Source organism: Homo sapiens, chromosome 16 (assembly GCF_000001405.40).
Source record: "Homo sapiens chromosome 16, GRCh38.p14 Primary Assembly".
NCBI lineage: Eukaryota > Metazoa > Chordata > Mammalia > Primates > Hominidae > Homo > Homo sapiens.
Genome location: NC_000016.10, coordinates 33,560,798 through 33,579,408, shown reverse-complemented (window position 1 = coordinate 33,579,408; position 18,611 = coordinate 33,560,798). Strand labels below are relative to the sequence as shown.

Here is an 18,611-nt window from a genome sequence, read left to right as displayed (position 1 = left end):
TTGGTTTTGTTTTTGTGTTTTTTGAGACAGGACTTCTTTCTGTTGCCATTACTGCAGTCTCGACCTCCCTGGCTCAAGTGATCTTCCCACCTCAGCCTTCTGAGTAGCTGGGACTACAGGTGTGCACCACCATGCCCGGCTAATTTTCCTATTTTTTGTAGAGATGGGGTTTCACTAAGTTGCCCAGGCTGGCCTTGAACTCCTGGGCTCAAGCGATCCCCCACCTCAGCCTCCTGAGGAGCTGGGATTACAGGCATGAGGCAAGAGGGGCATTTCTTTCATAGTTAGATCTCCATTTTTGGAGATGTATTGCAATTCTGAGGGATGGTGTTGTTGGCTTTCACCTTGCAGAAATCGATTCCAAAATTGAGTTATGGAGAATGATATGATAAAGTGCCTTCAAAATTGACCTAGGAGCCAGGCACAGTGGCTCACATCTGTAATCCCAGCACTTTGGGAGGCCAAGGCGGGCAGATTACTTGAGACCAGGAGTTCAAGACCAGCCTGGGCAACATGATGAAACCCTGTCTCTACAAAAATAATAATAATAATAATAATAATTAGCCAAGTGTGATGGTGCACACCTGCAATCCCAGCTACTCAGGTGGCTGAGGCACAAGATTCGCTTGAACCCAGGAGGTGGAGATTGCAGTGAGCTGAGATCTCGCCACTGCACTCCAACCTGGGTGAGAGAGGGAGACTCTGTGTCAAAAAAAAAAAAAAAAAAAAAAAAGAAATACAACCTTAAAAGGAGACTGGTGTGTTACTTTGTTTTAATTTGGATTTTTCTGTTTCAGTTTGTCACCTCCAGCTAGGAAACAGACTGCAGTCCAACGTAAGTACAGTGCACAGAATCTCTGTGTGTGCATAGTGGCCTCCCCTTACAGGGTCAATTTTGGCCTTTGGCCTTAATCCCGAAGTATTTGCGTATGCTTTTTGTTCCTTGGCAAATAAATGAGAAAATAATTAGCCAACATTGGAAAGGTATTGTCCTAACAATGTCCTTAGGAAAATTATGGTGACTCACTAAAATATCCTTGCTCAATGTCTGTTCAGTTGAATTTAATAACATATCTTGCTAATGTTTGCATGTCTATGAAATGTGACTATGCGGAATTACTGAAAATTAACTATAAAATCCAAGGCATCTAACTTTTAAACTTATCTTGGTTCATCACATATATTTACACTAGATTTTATACTGTCTTCATTTGTTTTTTTTTTTTTTTTGTCTGTTTGTCTGTTTTGAGACAGAGTCTTGCTCTGTCAGCCGGGCTGGAGTACAGTAGTGTGATCTCGGCTCACTGAAATGTCCAGCTCCCGGGTTCAAGCAATTCTGTCTCAGCCTCTGAGAAGCCAGGATTACAAGTGTGCACCACCATGTCCGGCTATTTTTTTTATTTTTAGTAGAGACGGGGTTTCACCATGTTGGCCAGACTGGTCTCGAACTCCTGACCTCAGGTGATCCACATGCCTCAGCCTCCCAAAGTGTTGGGATTATGGGAGTGAGCCACTGTGCCCGGCCTCACAAATGCCTTTTTGTTCAACACTGCAGATATTTCCCAACAAATGGGCTCATCCCTTCCAGTCTAGCACCTCACTCAACCCCAAAGCTGATGGTTCTCTCACTTCCCAAAGTTGGGGCTGCCACACCCCAGTCTAGAACCCTATCTAGCCTCTGTGCAGATAGGGTTCGTACCCAGGTACCTCTTCATACCCTGGATGTATGAAGGATCTCTGGCTCAGAGGCTTCTGGAAGGTGTGCTGCTCCCACTTACTCTGTGTTCTGATAGACGCCCACTGAGATGTTCAGCCCCTCCAGCTCTTCCTTGAGCATCTGCAGGTCTGAGTTGACGAAGCTCAGCTCCAGCCGCACTTGCTCCCGCACCTTTGGGTTTGCGGCCACTCTGTTCAAAGAGAAGAGGGAGAGAAGTGCCCTCAGCCAGGTATCCCAGCTTCTGGGTGAGCAGACCCAATCCCCAGTCCCTGCAGGGAGGATCAGGGCACGGCTTGCAGAGGAGGGCCGGGAGTGTCGGGTAAGGTATCCCACGGACACAGAGCACCTGCCCAGCTTGCAGCACACCTGCCAGTACGTGGAGCTGGGGACACAGGCAATGACACTGTGAGCTGCAGACATGAACTCTATGACATCCTACAAAAACTCTGTCTTGAGAAGAGAAAACAAAACTGCTCCTAGCCATGCCCTAAAATACCGTAAGATATCCACTTGAAAAGAAATGAATGATTCGGGTCAGGCGTGGTGGTTCACATCTGTAATCCCAGCACTTTGGGAGGCCGAAGCAGGTGGATCAGCTGAGGTCAGGAGTTCGAGACCAGCCTAGCCAACATATAGTGAAACTCTGTCTCTAATAAAAAACACAAAAACTAGCTGGGTGTGGTGGCGCACGCTTGTAGTCCCAGCTATGCAGAAGGCTGAGGCTTGAACCTGGGAGATAGGGGTTGCAGTGAGCTGAGATTGTGCCACTGCACTCCAGCCTGGGCAACAGAGCAAGGCTCCCTCTCAAAAAAAAAAAAAAAAAAAAAAGAATGATTCCTTTCGGTAGGAGAAATCCAAATAAATAAATAAATAAACATAAAATTTGTTTTAAAAAAAGAAAGAAATGGATGATTAGCTGGGCATGGTGGTGCATGCCTATAGTCCCAGGCAGGAGGATCGCTTGAGTCCAGGAGGTTGATACTGCAGTGAACTATGATCACACCACCGCAATCCAGCCTGGGTGACAGGGCAAGACACTGTCTCTAAAAACTAAAATAAGATAATATGAAATTATATATATATATATATATGATAGTAAAATAAAATAAATGAATGAGAAAATGAAGGGAGAGGTAATGCTTCCCAATTCATTCTGTAAACTAGTATTAGCAACCCAAGCCTAGCAACATATAAATAGGATTATACACCATAACTAAGTGGGATTTATCCCAGGAATGCAAGGTAGGTTTAACATCTGAAAATCAATATAATATATTATATTAACAGAATAAAGGACAAAAAACACATGGTGACTTCAACAGATATTGGAAAAACTATATGACAAAATCCATCACAGATTCATAATAAAAATTCTCAACAAAGTAGAAATAAAAGAGAATTTATGAAATCTGATAAAAGACACCTATAAAAACCCACAGTTAACATCACACTTTGTGGTGAATGACTGCTTTCCTCTTCTCACCACAAACAAGGCAAAGATGCCCACTTTTGCTATTTCTAATCAATGAGGCAAATAAAGAAATTAAAGGCATCCAGATTAGAAAGGAAAAAATAAAACTGTCTTTATTTACAGATGGCATTATCTTATATATAGAAAATCCTAAGGCATCCATAAAATAAATATTAGTACTAATAAATTTAGCAAGGTCACAGGGTATAATCAATATACAAAAATCAATTCTTTTTTTTTTTCTCTAGACAGGGTATCACTCTGTCACCTAGGCTGGAGTGCAATGCCACCATTATGGCTTACTACAGCCTCAACTTCCCAGGCTGAAGCCATCCTCCAGCCTCAGCCTCCCAAGGAGCTGGAACTACAGGTGCACACCACCACGCTGGCTGATTTTTGTATTTTTTTTGTAGAGATGGAGTCTCACTATGTTGCCCAGGCTGGCCCAGAAATCCTGGGCTCAAGCAATCTTCCTGCCTCAGCCTCCCAAAGTGCTGAGATTACAGGCATGAGCCACTGTGCCTGGCCAATTCAATTTCTATATAATAGCACTGAACAATCTTGAAACTGAGAAAACCATTCCATTCACAATAGCATCAAAAAGAATAAAATACTCAGGAATAAACAAAAGAATCACAAGACATGTAAACTGAAAACTACAAAACAATGCTGAGATATATTAAAAGAAGAGCTATTCCATGTTTACGGATGGGAAGGCTCATTATTGTCAAGATGTCAAGCCTCCTTAGTTGGTACATTCATTCAATGCAACCTCAATCAAAATCCCAGTAACCTTTTTAATAAAACTCGGCAAGCTGAATGGAAATGCAAAAAAAAAACCTACAATAGGCAAAATAATTTTGAAAAATAAGAACAGAGTTGGAAAACATATTGATTTTAAAATTTACTAAGAAGCTGGGCTGGGCATGGTGGCTCATGTCTGTAATCCTAGCACTTTGGGAGGCTGAGGCGGGTAGATCACCTGAGGTCAGGAGTTCGAGACCAGCCTAGTCAACACAGTGAAACCCCATCTCTACTAAAAATACAAAAAAATTAGCCAGGTGTGGTGGCAGACGCATATAATCCCAGCTACTCGCGAGCCTGATGCAGGAGAATCACTTGAACCTGGAAGGCAGAGGTTGCAGTGAGCCAAGATCACACCACTGCACTCCAGCCTGGGCAACAAGAGAGAAACTCCATCCCCAAAAAGAATAAAAAATAAAAAATAAACTTACTAAGAAGCCATAGTCATCAAGATAGCATGGTACTGACATAAAAATAGGCAATTAAACAGAATAAGAGTCCAGGAATAGGCCAGGTGTGGTAGCTCATGCCTGTAATCCCAGGACTTTGGGAGGCCAAGACGGATGGATCACGAGGTCAGGAGATCGAGACCATCCGGGCTGACATGGTGAAACCCCGTCTCTACTAAAAATACAAAAAAAAAAATTGTATTTTTAGTAGAGCGTGGTGGCGGGTGTGGTGGTGGGCACCTGTAGTCCCAGCTACTCAGGAGGCTGAGGCAGGAGAATGGTGTGAATCCAGGAGGCGGAGCTTGCAGTGAGCTGAGATTGCACCACTGCACTCCAGCCTGGGTGATAGAGCGAGACTCCATCTCATGAAAAAAACAACAAAAGAGTCCAGGAATAAATGTTTACATTCATGTAGCAAATCTTTACAATTGATTTTGAACAAAAGTGCCAAATCAATTCAATGTGGAAAAGATTATTGTTTCAACAAATAGTGCTAAAGCAAGTTGACATCCATAGGTACGTCAGGGTCCCTAAAACCACCCCCAAGTTCAGTGTTAATCTAGGAGGACTTGCAAAAGTCATGGCTACGGTTTACTACAGCAAAAGACACAAAGCATAATGAGCAAAGGGAAAGGCATATGGGGTGAAATTGGGAGGAGGCCCGGCCCAGGCTTTTAGGGGTCCTCTCCCAGTGGAATCCCACAGACCATGCTTAATTCTCCCATCAAGGAGTTGTGACAACACACGTAAAATGCCAAGAAAGCCCCCAGAAAGTTCCAATCAGGACTCAGGTCCCACCGGGAGGTCCCTCCCTAGCTGACTTCTTGGGCTCCCTCCCAAAGCGGGCAGAAGGGTCTGGGTGAGGGACCTGAGCCTGGTTTTCACTTTCCTAAGCCCGAGGGTCCTGTTCCTGGCACAAGGCCTTGAGGACGCTTGGGAAGCCAGCCTTCAGGTCCCGCTGTTTTGTTGTTTTGCCAAAGTATGTCCCGTCCGTAAGTTTGCCCCCTCGGGTCACTTTCTTCACCTTATCAGCAGGGCCCATCATTCCTGCTGCTTTCCAACAAGATGCCAGAGCATATTTTTAGACCAATGAAGTCGGTGGGACAGTGGGTGGGACCCAGAGAGTGACGGACAGTGAGTCGGCCTGGAGGGTGGGAAGGCAAAGTGAGTTCCGCTCCTGGGACGGGGCTGGGAGGGGACATGGAATGGTCTGTCAGCTATGAGTTTGTGGAAGGCAGAGTCGGTGACTTTCAGCTGACCTGCCTCGGTCTGGAAGATTCCAGTAGAGAAAGGGAGGGCCAGGGGCCTGGAGGCTGGTTCCAGGCCTGGGTGCTGGGCCTGAGAGCATTTCCAAAGCACTGAGCCTGGGACTGAAGGTAATTCACCATGAGCGCTCAGCTGGGGAGGACTGTCTGTGTGCTTCCCCCACCTCCCAGTCCCTCAACTCACCCCCAGTCCCCCCACCTGCCTTAACTCAGGAAAAAGGCCTCCCTCATGAGCACTGGCAGCTGCCTTTGGTGGCATGTCACAGTCACACCCCAGGACACAACACAGAATCTCAGGCTGGCAGGGGACATTTGAGATCAGCCAGCCCAGCCTCTCATTTTACAGCTGGGAATGGGCACAGGATGGCCATGGCTGCCCAAGGTCACAGAGCCTGGGAGGGAGAAGCAGGCACAGTGGAAAAAGTAAGGTCAGGTGAGCCAGGTCTGGGCACTGGGTCCAGGCCTGCCACTCCCCTGCATGCGGCTCAGGGCGATGGCTCAGCCTCTCAGCCTCAGGTCCACAGCCGAAGCAGGCAGAGCAACAGCTGTTTGAGGGGCTGCCTGGGGAGGAGTGGGGCTGGGTGTCCTGTGCGCACAGCGGACACTTCATCAGCCACTCTGTAGGCAGCCAAGCCAGGAGGGCCCTCTGGGCACCTGGGCCTCTCCGCAGGAAGAGGAGCAGGGACCCACTATCCTTTGGGTCAATGAAGGCCTTAAGCAATGGGCTCGAAAATCCCTGATTAGTGACTACCTTCTGTTGCTAGGCAAGATGGGGACAAATACGGGGTCCAGTTCTCCAGCTGTTAAACATCTGTCTCATCAAGAAGATGGGACAGCACATGGAAAATAAATTTCTATGGTTATAATAACTGTCCCAGATTCTCTGTGCAGTAATGGCCGACCTGCTTTCCCTCTTAAAACAAGCAAGAATTTTGGATAAAATAATAACAAAATTACGTTAAAAGCATCAAAGGGCTGCTAAGCTAGTAGGAAACCTCCAGGCCAAGTTTCAGGGGAAAATCAAGAACCTAGGGAGGAGCGCTGGGGCCATTGTTGCCTGTGAGCATTTGCCAACCTGGCAAGTTGGGCTTCGACCTTGGAGGGAGTAGGGGGGTAGACAGAGGTCAAGGTATGAGGAGGCTGATAGGGGATTCACCCCCATATCAAGCTGGGAGCCTGAAAGGCCTCACCTTGGGTGAAGACAGAAGAAGAGATAACCCTGGCCCCTGCCCCCAAACAAGGAATTCATTAGCATTAAAAGGAGTGGGAGGGAAAAAGGAAAGGAAACTCACAGATTCAACCACAAAGAGCCTCTGGCCTCCTGCGGACTTGGACCGCTCACCCATCACAACTGGGAGGCCCGGGGATGGTGGGGCTTCTGTGCACTTGGTTCCAGGTGGTCTGGGCTGTCCATGTGAAAGCAAACACCATCCTCGTGAGAAGGAACCTCTGTCTTTGGCCTCACGGAAACCCCACAGACACCCTTCCAAGGGCCCCAAGAAGCACACAAAGATATCCAAGTCTGAAAGGGAAGAAGGCACCATGAGTAAGAACCAGCAGACAAGCTAGCAGACACCCGCACAGTCTCCCCATATTATTATACAATTACCAAACAAGACACTACGGTACATTTCAAACCATAATAGGAGAGATGGCCCATGTTCGGTGGCCAAGCATAGCACAGAGCTCCTCACTCCTCCAGGAATTCCACTGAAGGGTGGCAAGTTCTGGAGTTCAAGCCACTGGGTAGGCAACAGGAGTGCAAGTGGCCACAGTTCAGGCGCTGTTGGGCAGAGCAGGGGAGGGGGCGCTCCCAAGGAGTCCACTGGGAGACGCAGGCAGGGGGCTTCTCAGGCAGCCTCACCAGCTTCCCTTCACACTGATCCCCTGTAAACGTGTGTCCAGCCTCGATGTAAGAGGAACAGGGAGAAATTGATTTGCTATTCATAAAATGTGCGCCTCTCTGCGCCTGCGCCCGCGCTGTGCGCCTTTGCGAGGGCGGAGCTGCGCTCTCCTCAGCACAGACCCAGATTGCATCGTGAGGGCGAGCTGAGTTCTCCTCTGCACAGACTTCGGAGATACAGCGAAGGCGGAGCAGTGTTTTCCTCAGCACAGACCCGGGCGGGCGGGCCGGGGGCACCGCGAGGGCGGAGCTGCGTTCTGCTCAGCACAGACCCGGGGTACACCTCGAAGGCAGAGCAGCTTTCTCCTCAGCACAGACCTTGGGGACACTGTCTCCCTTTGAGCAGAATAGGTGAATGAATGAATGAGTGTAATCACATGCCCTGCCTTTCCCTGTTTATCAAGCCTGGCATCACTTTAGAATCTCTTGTTAGGATTTATGATACCCAGGCTTTACCTCAGAAGCTGAGAGTGGCACTCAGGTATAAGCATGTTTTTCCAAGCTCCACAGGTATTCCATAGCGCAGCCATGTTTGAGACAGTGGGGTCTAAGAAACATGTAGAACTAATTAGAATCCTGAAGTGTCTGTGATAAAGGTAATAAGCTTTTTGTAAGATTACAGAGGACATAGGTTAAGTTGGAAAGCCTGAGTGTTGAGATTCCTAGGCTCAGGAATTTTAATTTAAGCAAAGTTAAATGTCTTAACTTGCAAAGACATGAATCTGTAGATTCCAGATTAATGGCAGGTGTGAATTGTACAATAGAAACTGATCTAGCCTACGTGCCTTCTTGGACTGGCAGACTATGTTAATCTTTTTATTTTATGACAAGTTCAACATTATTCCCTTTTGTACTGAATTTTAGATTACTGATTTTGGGCACTCCAAGATTTTGGGAGAGACCTCTCTCGTGAGAACCTTATGTGGAACCCCCACCTGCTTGGCTCCTGAAGTTCTTGTTTGTGTTGGACTGCTGGGTTTTAGGAGTTATTCTTTTTATCTGGTAAGAAATATTTTCATTGCTTCACAGACTGGTAGGAGGTGATTAGATGAAGTCACAAATGTGTCTTGCTCTGTTGTCCAGGCTGGCATGCAGTGGCTTGATCTTGGCTAACTGTAGCCTCTGCCTCCTGGGTCAAGTGATCCTCCCACCTCAGCCTCCCGAGTAGCTGGGACTACATGCGCACACCACCATGCCCAGCTAATTTTTCTATTTTTTGTAGTGATGGGGTTTTGCCATGTTGCCCAGGCTGGTCTTGAACTCCTGGGCTCAAGTGATCCTCTTCCCTCGGCCTCCCAAAGTACTGGGATTACAAGCATGAGCCATTGTGCCCAGCCTAGCTCACTTTTTGACCATTGATTTAAAGAAAAATCAGACTTTTCATTATGCTGAAAAAGAAATCTTTATATCTGAATGCCACTGAGAATGCCACTTGATTTCTTTTCCTTTCTCTCTCTACCATTATTAAGCCTTAGTGGGTATCCACCTTTCTCTGAGCATAGGACTCAAGTGTCACTGAAGGATCAGATCACCAGTGGAAAACACAACTTCATTCCTAAAGTCTGGGCAGAAATCTCAGAGAAAGGTATGAATATGAAAGGGTTAAGAATTTGTGGTATTCTAAAATGTGTGTGTCCTGTGGTGGGAGTTTCTCTCCAAATTCCATGGTGTTTTCTCCTGTCAATTCTGTTCTTATTTTCTATCGTTAGTTTCACACCATTTGAGAGGCACTGGAAATTATTAAGAGCATGCACTCAGGTCCTGGGTCTGCTACTACTTAGCTGTGTGGCCTTAGGCAAGTTATTTAACCTCTGTCTCCAATTTCTTTCTGTGTAAAGGGACCCTCAATAATCCCTACCTTAAAAGGTTTTTGAGGGTTAGGGATAATGTACACAAGTGCCTGGTACCTATTTTAATGAGCAAAATAAATGCACTTGTAACTTTTTAGTTACAAGGTTTCCTTTGAGTAAGCAAGCGTGTAAAAACTAGATGTCTTTAGTTACCTTATATTTTATAATTTATCCTGGCAACTTTAGTTCCCTGAAGAGAAAGTAGAAAATTAAATGTCAAATAACATAACATAGGTGATTGTGTTAAATGTCAGAATATTTAAGGAATAATAATGTTGTAATATACAGGCCAGCGTGCATTTGTTGCTTGCTGGAGTAGTCAAGTTTTATTTCTGACAAGTCTGCAGTTCCAGGGAGCCTCTCCCTGGCTGAGTAACTGTCACCCATCCATCTGTAGATGTCAGGGAGAGTTTGCTGTGCATCCCAGTTATCTTAGAATTGGGTAGAAGTTTAGCTTTAATTAGTTTGACCTCGAGTCTAGCAACAAGAGAGGGAACAGGCAACGAAGAGGTAGTGACTGATGTCCCAGCAGCAGGAGACAGGGAGTGTCATTGTCATTCCTGGTCTTCTCACAGTACTCTGAATACAGAGAATGAGGAAGATTAAGGGGCCCTGTCTGCTGACTCCCTGATGATCTCAGACCCTCTCTGCTCTTTCTGGATGGTGACCTGTTAATTCTGGCATACTGTTACTGATAATATATTTATACTTTTCACTGTGATTTGCCCAATTGTTGCTTTAGCTCTGGACCTTGTCAAGAAGTTGTTGGTAGTGGATCCAAAGGCATGTTTTACGACAGAAGAAGCCTTAAGACACCATGGTTTCAGGTGGGTGTGGGACAGTGCCTGCTAGCATAAAATACATGGGAAGCCCTGCTGCATGAGAGACATGAGACAGAGGACAGAAACATATTTACTTTGTTGAATCTGTTTAATTGTTTTAATGTATTGGGGGAGTATCTTGGCAGATGGGTTACAACCTGTTTTTTTTTTCCTTTTTTGAGACAGGTTCTCATTCTGTCTCCCTGGCTGGAGTGCAGTGGCACAATCTCAGCTCACTGCAACCTCTGCCCCCCGGGTTCAAGTGATCCTCCTGCCTCAGCCTCCCAAGTAGCTGGGATTAAAGGTGCATGCTACCACGCCCAGCTACTTTTTGTATTTTTTGTAGAGATGGGGTTTTGCCGTGTTGGCCAGGCTACAACCTTTTTGATGTTACTCATGGCTGTTGGATGTACAAGCTCACTTTATGTCCTGTTCTGGTTCCACCTGGCTGCCCCGAGTCTCCAGTTTGGCCTGTGTCCTTTTGAGGTCTTGTTCTGGCTCTACCCCAAGCCATGTCCACTGTTCTTCACAGGTGGGGTGCATTCCAGCCATCTTCAACCTTAAATCAGGGAACTGGGGGAGGAGGGCAGCCTCCCTGGGGAGAATCCAGCTATTTCTCAAGCCCAAGTGACTGGGTATAAAGGGTCCCACTGCTTGTTCATTCAGATGAGTAAATGTGTCCTTAGTGAAGGCTGTCACCTGCACCTTTCATCTGTGTTACTGCTGTGCTCCTGCTAGGGTTAGGGGCTGCCATTATTAAATGCTGACCTCATTTGGAACTGCCAAGAGTTGGAAGTACATTGTGGCTTTGCTGGGTTAATCTTTAGTTTTGGAATTAGCTACGGCATTGGGCAGGTTTTTCTGATAGATGTCTGGTCTTCTGTAACGAGCAGTTCCATTCAGCACAGCCATGCCCCTTTCTATTAATTTTCTTTTGGTCTGTGTATTAGTCTGTTCTCACACTGCTATAAAGAACTGCCCAAGACTGGGTAATTTATAGAGAAAAGAGCTTTAACTGACTCACAGCTCCACATGGCTGGGGAGGCCTCAGGAAACTTATAATCATGGTGGAAGGGGAAGAAGGCATGTCTTAATGGCAGCAGGTGAGAGAGCTTGTGAAGGAAGTGAAGGGTGAAGAGCCTCTTATGAAACTGTCAGATCTCGTGAGAACTCACTCACTATCATGAGAATAGCCTGGGGGGAACTGCCCCTATGAGCCAATCACCTCTCAACAGGTCCCTTTCTCAACACCTGGGGATTACAATTTGAGATGAGATTTGCATAGGGACACAAAGCCAAACTGTATCAATCCGTTTTCTGTGGAGATGGGGGACAGAACTGGTAGCTTGAGCTAGAGGCTGTTACTTGAGCTAAATGCTGTTTCTCTGGGGATTACTGGTCCAGGAACTCCTTGGGAAATCCAGCCTCAGCCCCGTACTTCTGGGACTCTGGGAAGACTGTCCCCATTCTCTGTTCTAATCCTCTACACCTAACAGTTTTGCTCAGGCCAGCTCAGGTTGAGAACAACAAAAACTTAAGAAAAAAAAAAGACAGATATATGTGTTTTGGATGTTGCCCTGGAAACTATAGTCTCCCCAGAAGAAATCTGTCAGATGATTTAGCATTTAATAGACCACACAGATTTGAAACAGCAGGAACCTAGAGGAAGGGGGTTTGGAAACAAAGGGTGCCTTTGCATGTGGGGATTTTAATTTTGATGAAAAAGAGAAACATGTCTTTTGGCTCTTTTCATGTGTCCTAATAGGGAAACTCTTGGTTCTAAATGTAGAGGTACAGGAGCTGTGTTCATCTCTAGCAAAAAAACAGAGCTGGCCAGTTGAGCCTGGGAACAGGGTTTGCATCTGCCTGAAATTTATGAGCAAGCATAGCCTATTTTTCTTGTGCTTCTTTGTCTCAAAGAAAACTTATTAACAACCAAGGAGAAGGTGAAGTTCAACTCCGTTGCAGAATCTCCCTGGAATACTCTTTTAGCCACCTTTTGTTTTTGCAGTAAAAGGAGGAATGAGCATTGAATGAAGACAAAGATGAAGACTGACCATCTAAAACATCTGTTAGTGATAGTTTGGGTTTTATTTTGGGAAAATTCAGTGTTTTCACAAAAACCAAATGGTTTTGTGGTTCTGGCGCTGGACTGAGTGTTGGGAATGTGGATTCTGGTCTCTGTTTTGTCATTAACAGAGTGCCCAGTTTTGGGAGCATCCCTTACATCTACTGTCTGCCTCATATTTACTGCCTGAAATAGAGGATTTCTTCTGTTTGCTTTCAAGGGATATTATAATTTAATTTTTATTTTATTTATTGTTGGAGACAAGGACTTCTTCTGTTGCCTAAACTGGAGTGCACTGGTGCAATTACAGCTCACTGCAGCCTCGACCTCCTGGACTTAAGGGATCCTCCCACCTCAGCCTCATGAAGTGCTTGGATAATAGGCACGAGCCACTGTTCCTGGCTAATTTAATATTTTGGAATAATTGTAGACATTATGAAGAAAATCAATGTTTATTTATTTATTGCCTTTTTTGAGATGGAGTCTCACTTTTGTCTACCAGGCTGGAGTGCAATGGTGTGATCTCAGCTCACTGTGACCTCCACCTCTGAGTTCAAGTGATTCTCCTGCATCAGACTCCCAAGTGGCTGGGATTACAGGTGCCTGCCACATGCCCAGCTCATTTTTGTATTTTTAGTAGAGATGGGGTTTCACCATGTTGGTCAGACTAGTCTCGAACTCTTGACCTCAGGTGATCCACCCACCTTGGCCTCCCAAAGTGCTGGGATTCCAGGCATGAGCCACTGTGCCTGACCTGATTACTTGTTTTAAATATAAGCCTGATTAGGCTTGTGACCGCTCTGTTTGGCTTCACTGAAGGGCTGCCAAGAGGTGGACTTTTGAGAGTGACACTGCAAGATAATTGAGATCCTAAGTAAGGCTGTGAGAGGGTGCGGAGAGGAATCCAGATGAGCTTGCTGCTGTCAAATGGCAATGGAGAGCTACACTGAGAAACTCAAAACAGAGTGACCTCAAGTGATCTGCCCTGCCTTGGCCTCCCAAAGTGCTGGGATTACAGGCATGAGCCACTGTGCCTGGTCCTTCTTTCCTTCTTTCTTTCTTCCTCCTTCCTTCCCCCTCCCCTCTCCTCCATTCCTTTCCCCTCCCCTCTTTCATCCCCCCCCCTTTTTCCTTCCTTGCTTCTTTCCTTTCTTCCTTCCTCAGGGTCTTGCTGTCTCACCTAGGCTGGAGTGCAGTGGCATGATCACTGCACCATGACTTTCAGGCTCAAGTGATCCTCCTGCCCCAGCCTCCCAAGTAGCTGAGACTACAGGTGCATGCCACCGTGTCTGGCTAATTTAAATTTTTTTTTTTTTTTTTTTTTTTTTTGAGACAGAGTCGTAGTCTTTTGCCCAGGCTGGAGTGCAGTGGTGTGATCCTGTCTTACTGCAACCTCCACCTCTCGAGTTCAAGCGATTCTCCTGCCTCAGCCTCCTGAGTAGCTGGGATTACAGGCATGCACTACCACGCCTGGCTAATTTTGTATTTTTAGTAGAGACGGGGTTTCACCATGTTAGCCAGGCTGATCTCAAACTTCCGACCTCAGGTGATTCGCCCGCCTTGGCCTCCCAAAGTGCTGGGATTACGGACGTGAGCCTCTGTGCCTGGCCTAATTTTTAAATTTTTTTGTAGTGACAAAGTCCCAGTATGTTGCCCAGGCTGGTCTCAAATGCCTGGCCTCAAGCAAATCTCCCACCTTGGCCTCCCAAAGTGCTGGGATTATAGGCATGAGCCACCATGCCCAACCTAGTGTTGTAAAATTTCCATATCCATCAAATTGCCAAATGGTGGAGGACTTTACTGTATCCTCTCTCTTTCCCCACTGTGGTATGCTTGGCTCAGTGGGAGGAGGGGCTGGAGTTGGGTGGGAAAGTACATGAGGCATTGGAGTCAGATAACTCTGGGTCTGTATTCTGCACATGCCACCTGTGAGTGGCTGAGCTGGGCTTCTGGCCAGAACTCAAAGGCCACATTCCTAGTTATAGATGTTCCTTTCACCTTGCTGAAGTTGGGGAGAGCTGCATCAGACCACCTCTCAGGGTTTCCTAATGCAAATCCTTGAACCCTGCAGAAGTAAGCATCCAGAGAGGTGGGAGCTACTCGTATACCCACTGTCTGTGCCCTCCTCATCTCCCGCTCCTGCAGCATGAAACAGCTGTAATGCTTTGTTATGTTTATTGTCTCCCTTTCTCATTAGACCTGAGCTCTGGGATATTGTGGCCTTAAGTACTTCTGAAAATTTGTATGGCATCTGCTGGGTGAATTTTCCTAGGGTGCTGGGCTGGTTGTTAGGACAGCCTGGGTGACTGGCCTCATTCATGGCAGGGGCAGCAGGTGGAGAGTTGTCCTGGAAGGATTTGAGGAGCTGCACGGAGTCAGACCCAGCCCCTGGCCCCCTGATTGTCACCTTTCTCAGGATCTGGGATGCTAATTCAGAAACTCTTGACTGCCGGAGGCTGTGATTGACCCACTGAGAGCTTTTAGGCATGTGGATGTGAGTCAGCCAGGATTGATGGAGCATTGACTGCTAATTTGACTCCTCTGGGAAGGTAGAGGGGGGCAACACATAATGCCTTCGCTGTGGGAGCTTCATCAAGGGGATGATTCTTGGACGGACATCTTTTCCTCCCTCTTTCCACAGGGGCATGCTAGCCCTGTCATTCTAGGAGTTTATTATCCTTCAGACACAGCTACTTATGTTTTTAATTCCCTCACAGGATGAAGACATGAAGAGAAAGTTTCAAGATCTTCTGTCTGAGGAAAATGAATCCACAGGTCTATCCCAGGTTCTAGCCCAGGTATTCGTATTCCTGATGATCACTAAATGTAGTCTAGGCTTAAGGAGCTGATAAGTAAAGAGATGAAATTCAAGATTTTCCTGAGTAATAATTGCTTAACATTGTTTCAGTTATAATGTAGTAGAAACTCTCTTTGAACTTGATTCACTCTAGCACCCTTAGATTTAAAAATGCAGGTTATGTTTAATATCTAACACATAATAGACAGATAAGCACAGCTAGGGATTGTCATCCAAAAGGTCACCTGCAAGGCAATTTCAAAAGACTCTATTAGAGGCTCAAATATAAATTTGTTGGAAAATTAAAATTTGGGTCCGTAGTTGATTCCTTGATTACAATTTTATTCTTTAAAGTTCTTTGTGAGTATAAGTTAATTCCAGTCCTGCTTTTTTGTTGTTGTTGTTGTTGAATGGTAGCTGTCCTTTTTCCCACTGTTTTCTCCCCCCCGATTTTTATTTTCTTGAGACAGACTCTTAGTCTGTCACTCAGGCCAGAGTGCAGTGGTGCAATCTCAGCTCACTGCAACCTCTGCCCCCTGAGTTCAGGCAGTTCTCCTGCCTCAGTCTCCTGAGTATCTGGGACTACAGGTGTCCGCCACTGTGCCCAGTTAATTTTTGTATTTTTAGGTGAGATGGGGTTTTGCCATGTTGGTCAGGCTTGTCTCGAACTTTTGACCTGAAATGACCTACCCACCTCGGCTTCCCAAAGTGCTTGGATTACAGGTGTGAGTCACCACACCCAGCCTTCCTCCCAATTTTGCATATGGGAAAACAACTAAGGCACAAAGGTTGTCTTCCCGCAAAAGACCAAGACTTGGGGCTTCAACTGAGAGGTATTGTAGTCCTTTTAAACTTGATATTTAGAAGAGGATGATCAAGAGGAAGTTGGTTATGCTACTTGCTTTCAGTATACATCATTCAGAGGTCAGAAGCCATAAGGGAGAGAAATATCTATTAGATAAGCATGTCTGAGTTGCGGGCTGTGATGAGGACTCAGTTGTCAATGATGAAAACCAGTAATTTTTGGTACTAGAATTTCACATCAAATGCCCCCACTTTACTGGAAGTACATTGAGGAACTTTGATAATCTTAAAGAAGCCAGTGATTTTCTTTTGAACATTTCTCCATTTTCCTTTATTTTCAGCCTTCTACTAGTCGAAAGCGGCCTCGTGAAGGGGAAGCCGAGGGTGCCGAGACCACAAAGCGCCCGGCTGTGTGTGCTGCTGTGTTGTGAACTCCGTGGTTTGAACATGAAAGAAATGTACCTTCTTTCACTCTGTCATCTTTCTTTTCTTTGAGTCTGTTTTTTTATAGTTTGTATATTAATTATGGAAATAATTGCTTTTTCACAGTCACTGATGTACAATTAAAAACCTGATGGAACCTGGGCTTTGTGCTTCTGCTTGATAATCGGTTCTTTAGTTGAATGGCTTTATTATTTATTTATTTGAGATGGAGTCTCACTCTGTTGCCCAGCCTGAAGTGTAGTGGTGCAAGCTTGGCTCACTGCAACCTCTGCTTCCCAGATTCAAGCGATTCTCGTGCCTCAGCCTCCTGAGTAGCTGGGATTACAGGTATGCGCCACCATGCCAAGCTAATTTTTATATTTTTTTGTAGAGACTGGGTTTTGCCATGTTGGCCAGCCTGGTCTTGAACTTCTGACCTCAGGTGATCCGCCTGCCTCGGTCTCTTAAAGTGCTGGGATTACACATGTGAGCCACTATGCCTAGCCTGAATGGCTTTTTTATATTTAAAGTTGTTGTGTGCCTTTCATCTGGAGCTACACCTTGGCTATCACTAGGCAGGTTTCCCAGGATGTCACCCTGGTCTCAGCCTGTGAGAGCTGAATGCAAATTCTAAGGGCCCCTTGGAAAGTTCCAGGGAAAGGAGCATAGCGAGGTTGGGGGTGGAGTTTGTAGAGACTGGCTGGCTGGCTGCTGACATCTTCATGAGAACAGCAGGTACCTTGGTGCATAATAACAGGCCAGGTTATACTCTCATCCTTGCCCTCATAAAGATACAGGTCTACAGTCTCTGAAACCTTTGGGCTAGATAAGTTGTGAAATTTAATTACCCAATTTTCGGAAGGTGGTAAGGCATATCTACTATGTGTATGTGTAGCACCCCAGTGGAGTCCTACACATGTGGAGTCCTACCCCAGTGGAGACCAAACATGTTAATATTTCCACAGCAAATATTCACAGTAAGAGGGATAGAGAAAGATTGTAGGTAGTTGCATATTGATTCATATCAGTCTTTTCTTCCAAATGAGCTACAATGACTCATTTTTGAGAGCTGTTTGGGTTTTGGAAGTGGAGATAAGGCACGGTTATGTCTTGATGACCCAATAATGACCGGGGAGGCCTTGTGCAAAGACTTACCCTTGGCTGCTCTTGTCCTCACAGTGATTCTATGAGGTCCTCTAGCCACTGTCATGTCACAGGTGAGGAAACCAAAGTTGGAGGATGAAGGTAACTTTTCTGATGTCGCGCAGCTGGTAAATGGCAGAGCTGGGACCCAACCCAGGTCTTTTTGACTCTAAAACTAATGTTCCTTATTGTCCACTGAATCTGCCTTTATAACTTTGCTTGGTCGATGCTAGGACACTTTGTAGCTCACTGGCCATGCCATGAATTGAGTGCCATGGTTCAAAGGCCACTGGTGATTCAGTCAAGGCAGGCTCAAGGGCACACAGCCATTTCCTTAGGAAATGGGGATGGTGGTTGAAAATTTCTATTAAAGGGTATATAAGCATTCTGAGACTTGGCTGGCCGGGTGTAGGGGGTTTGTTGGGAATTTAGGTGGTTTGCATGTTTAAAGGAATAAGACTGAGATTTCCAATTAGATAGGTTTTAGCTCATTTGAATATTTAATGTGGAGGCTGTGGTTTCCTGGGACATTTTTCCCACTGTGGAGAGTTAGCCAGCTTTTCTCTGTTTCTTTTTTCTTTTTTTTTTTTTAATCGAGATGAAGTCTCATGCTTGTCACCCAGGCTGGACTGCAATGGTGCAATCTCAGCTCACTGCAACCTCCGCCTCCTGGGTTCAAGCGATTCTCCTGACTCAGCCTCCCGAGTAGCTGGGATTACAGCCACCTGCCACCATGCCCAGCTAATTTTTGTATTTTTAGTAGAGATAGGGTTTCACCATGTTGGTCAGGCTGGTCTTGAACCCCTGACCTCAGGCAATCCACCCGCCTCCCTCCCAAAGTACTGGGATTAGAGGCATGAGCTACCATGCCCGGCCGCCCTTCTCTGTTTCCAGATCATTTTGTATTAACTCCCCCTCATGATATTTTCCATGGCAGGCTGAATAATGGCCCCTCCAAAGTGTCCTCAACTTAATCCCCGGAATCTGTGACTATGTTCCTTTCCATGACAAAAGGGACTTTGCAGATGTGATTAAGCATCTTGAGATGGGAACTTATCCTATGTTGCCTGTGGGCCCAGTGTCCCATCACAGTGCT

General features: G+C 45.9%; 1 long non-coding RNA gene and 1 pseudogene across 1 annotated transcript; one reads left to right on the top strand and one right to left on the bottom strand.

The window, feature by feature from the left end:
- Nucleotides 1-7,611, bottom strand: part of LOC102724181 (rhophilin-2-like) — a 55,052-nt pseudogene extending 47,441 nt beyond the window's left edge.
- Nucleotides 7,612-7,728: 117 nt separating this feature from the next.
- LOC101929031 (uncharacterized) lies at nt 7,729-16,534 on the top strand. Its single transcript, XR_243387.4, has 6 exons — nt 7,729-7,960; nt 8,474-8,611; nt 9,079-9,194; nt 10,202-10,286; nt 15,066-15,146; nt 16,291-16,534. It is a non-coding gene; the product is annotated as an uncharacterized LOC101929031 (long non-coding RNA).
- The last annotated feature ends 2,077 nt before the right edge of the window (nt 16,535-18,611 follow it).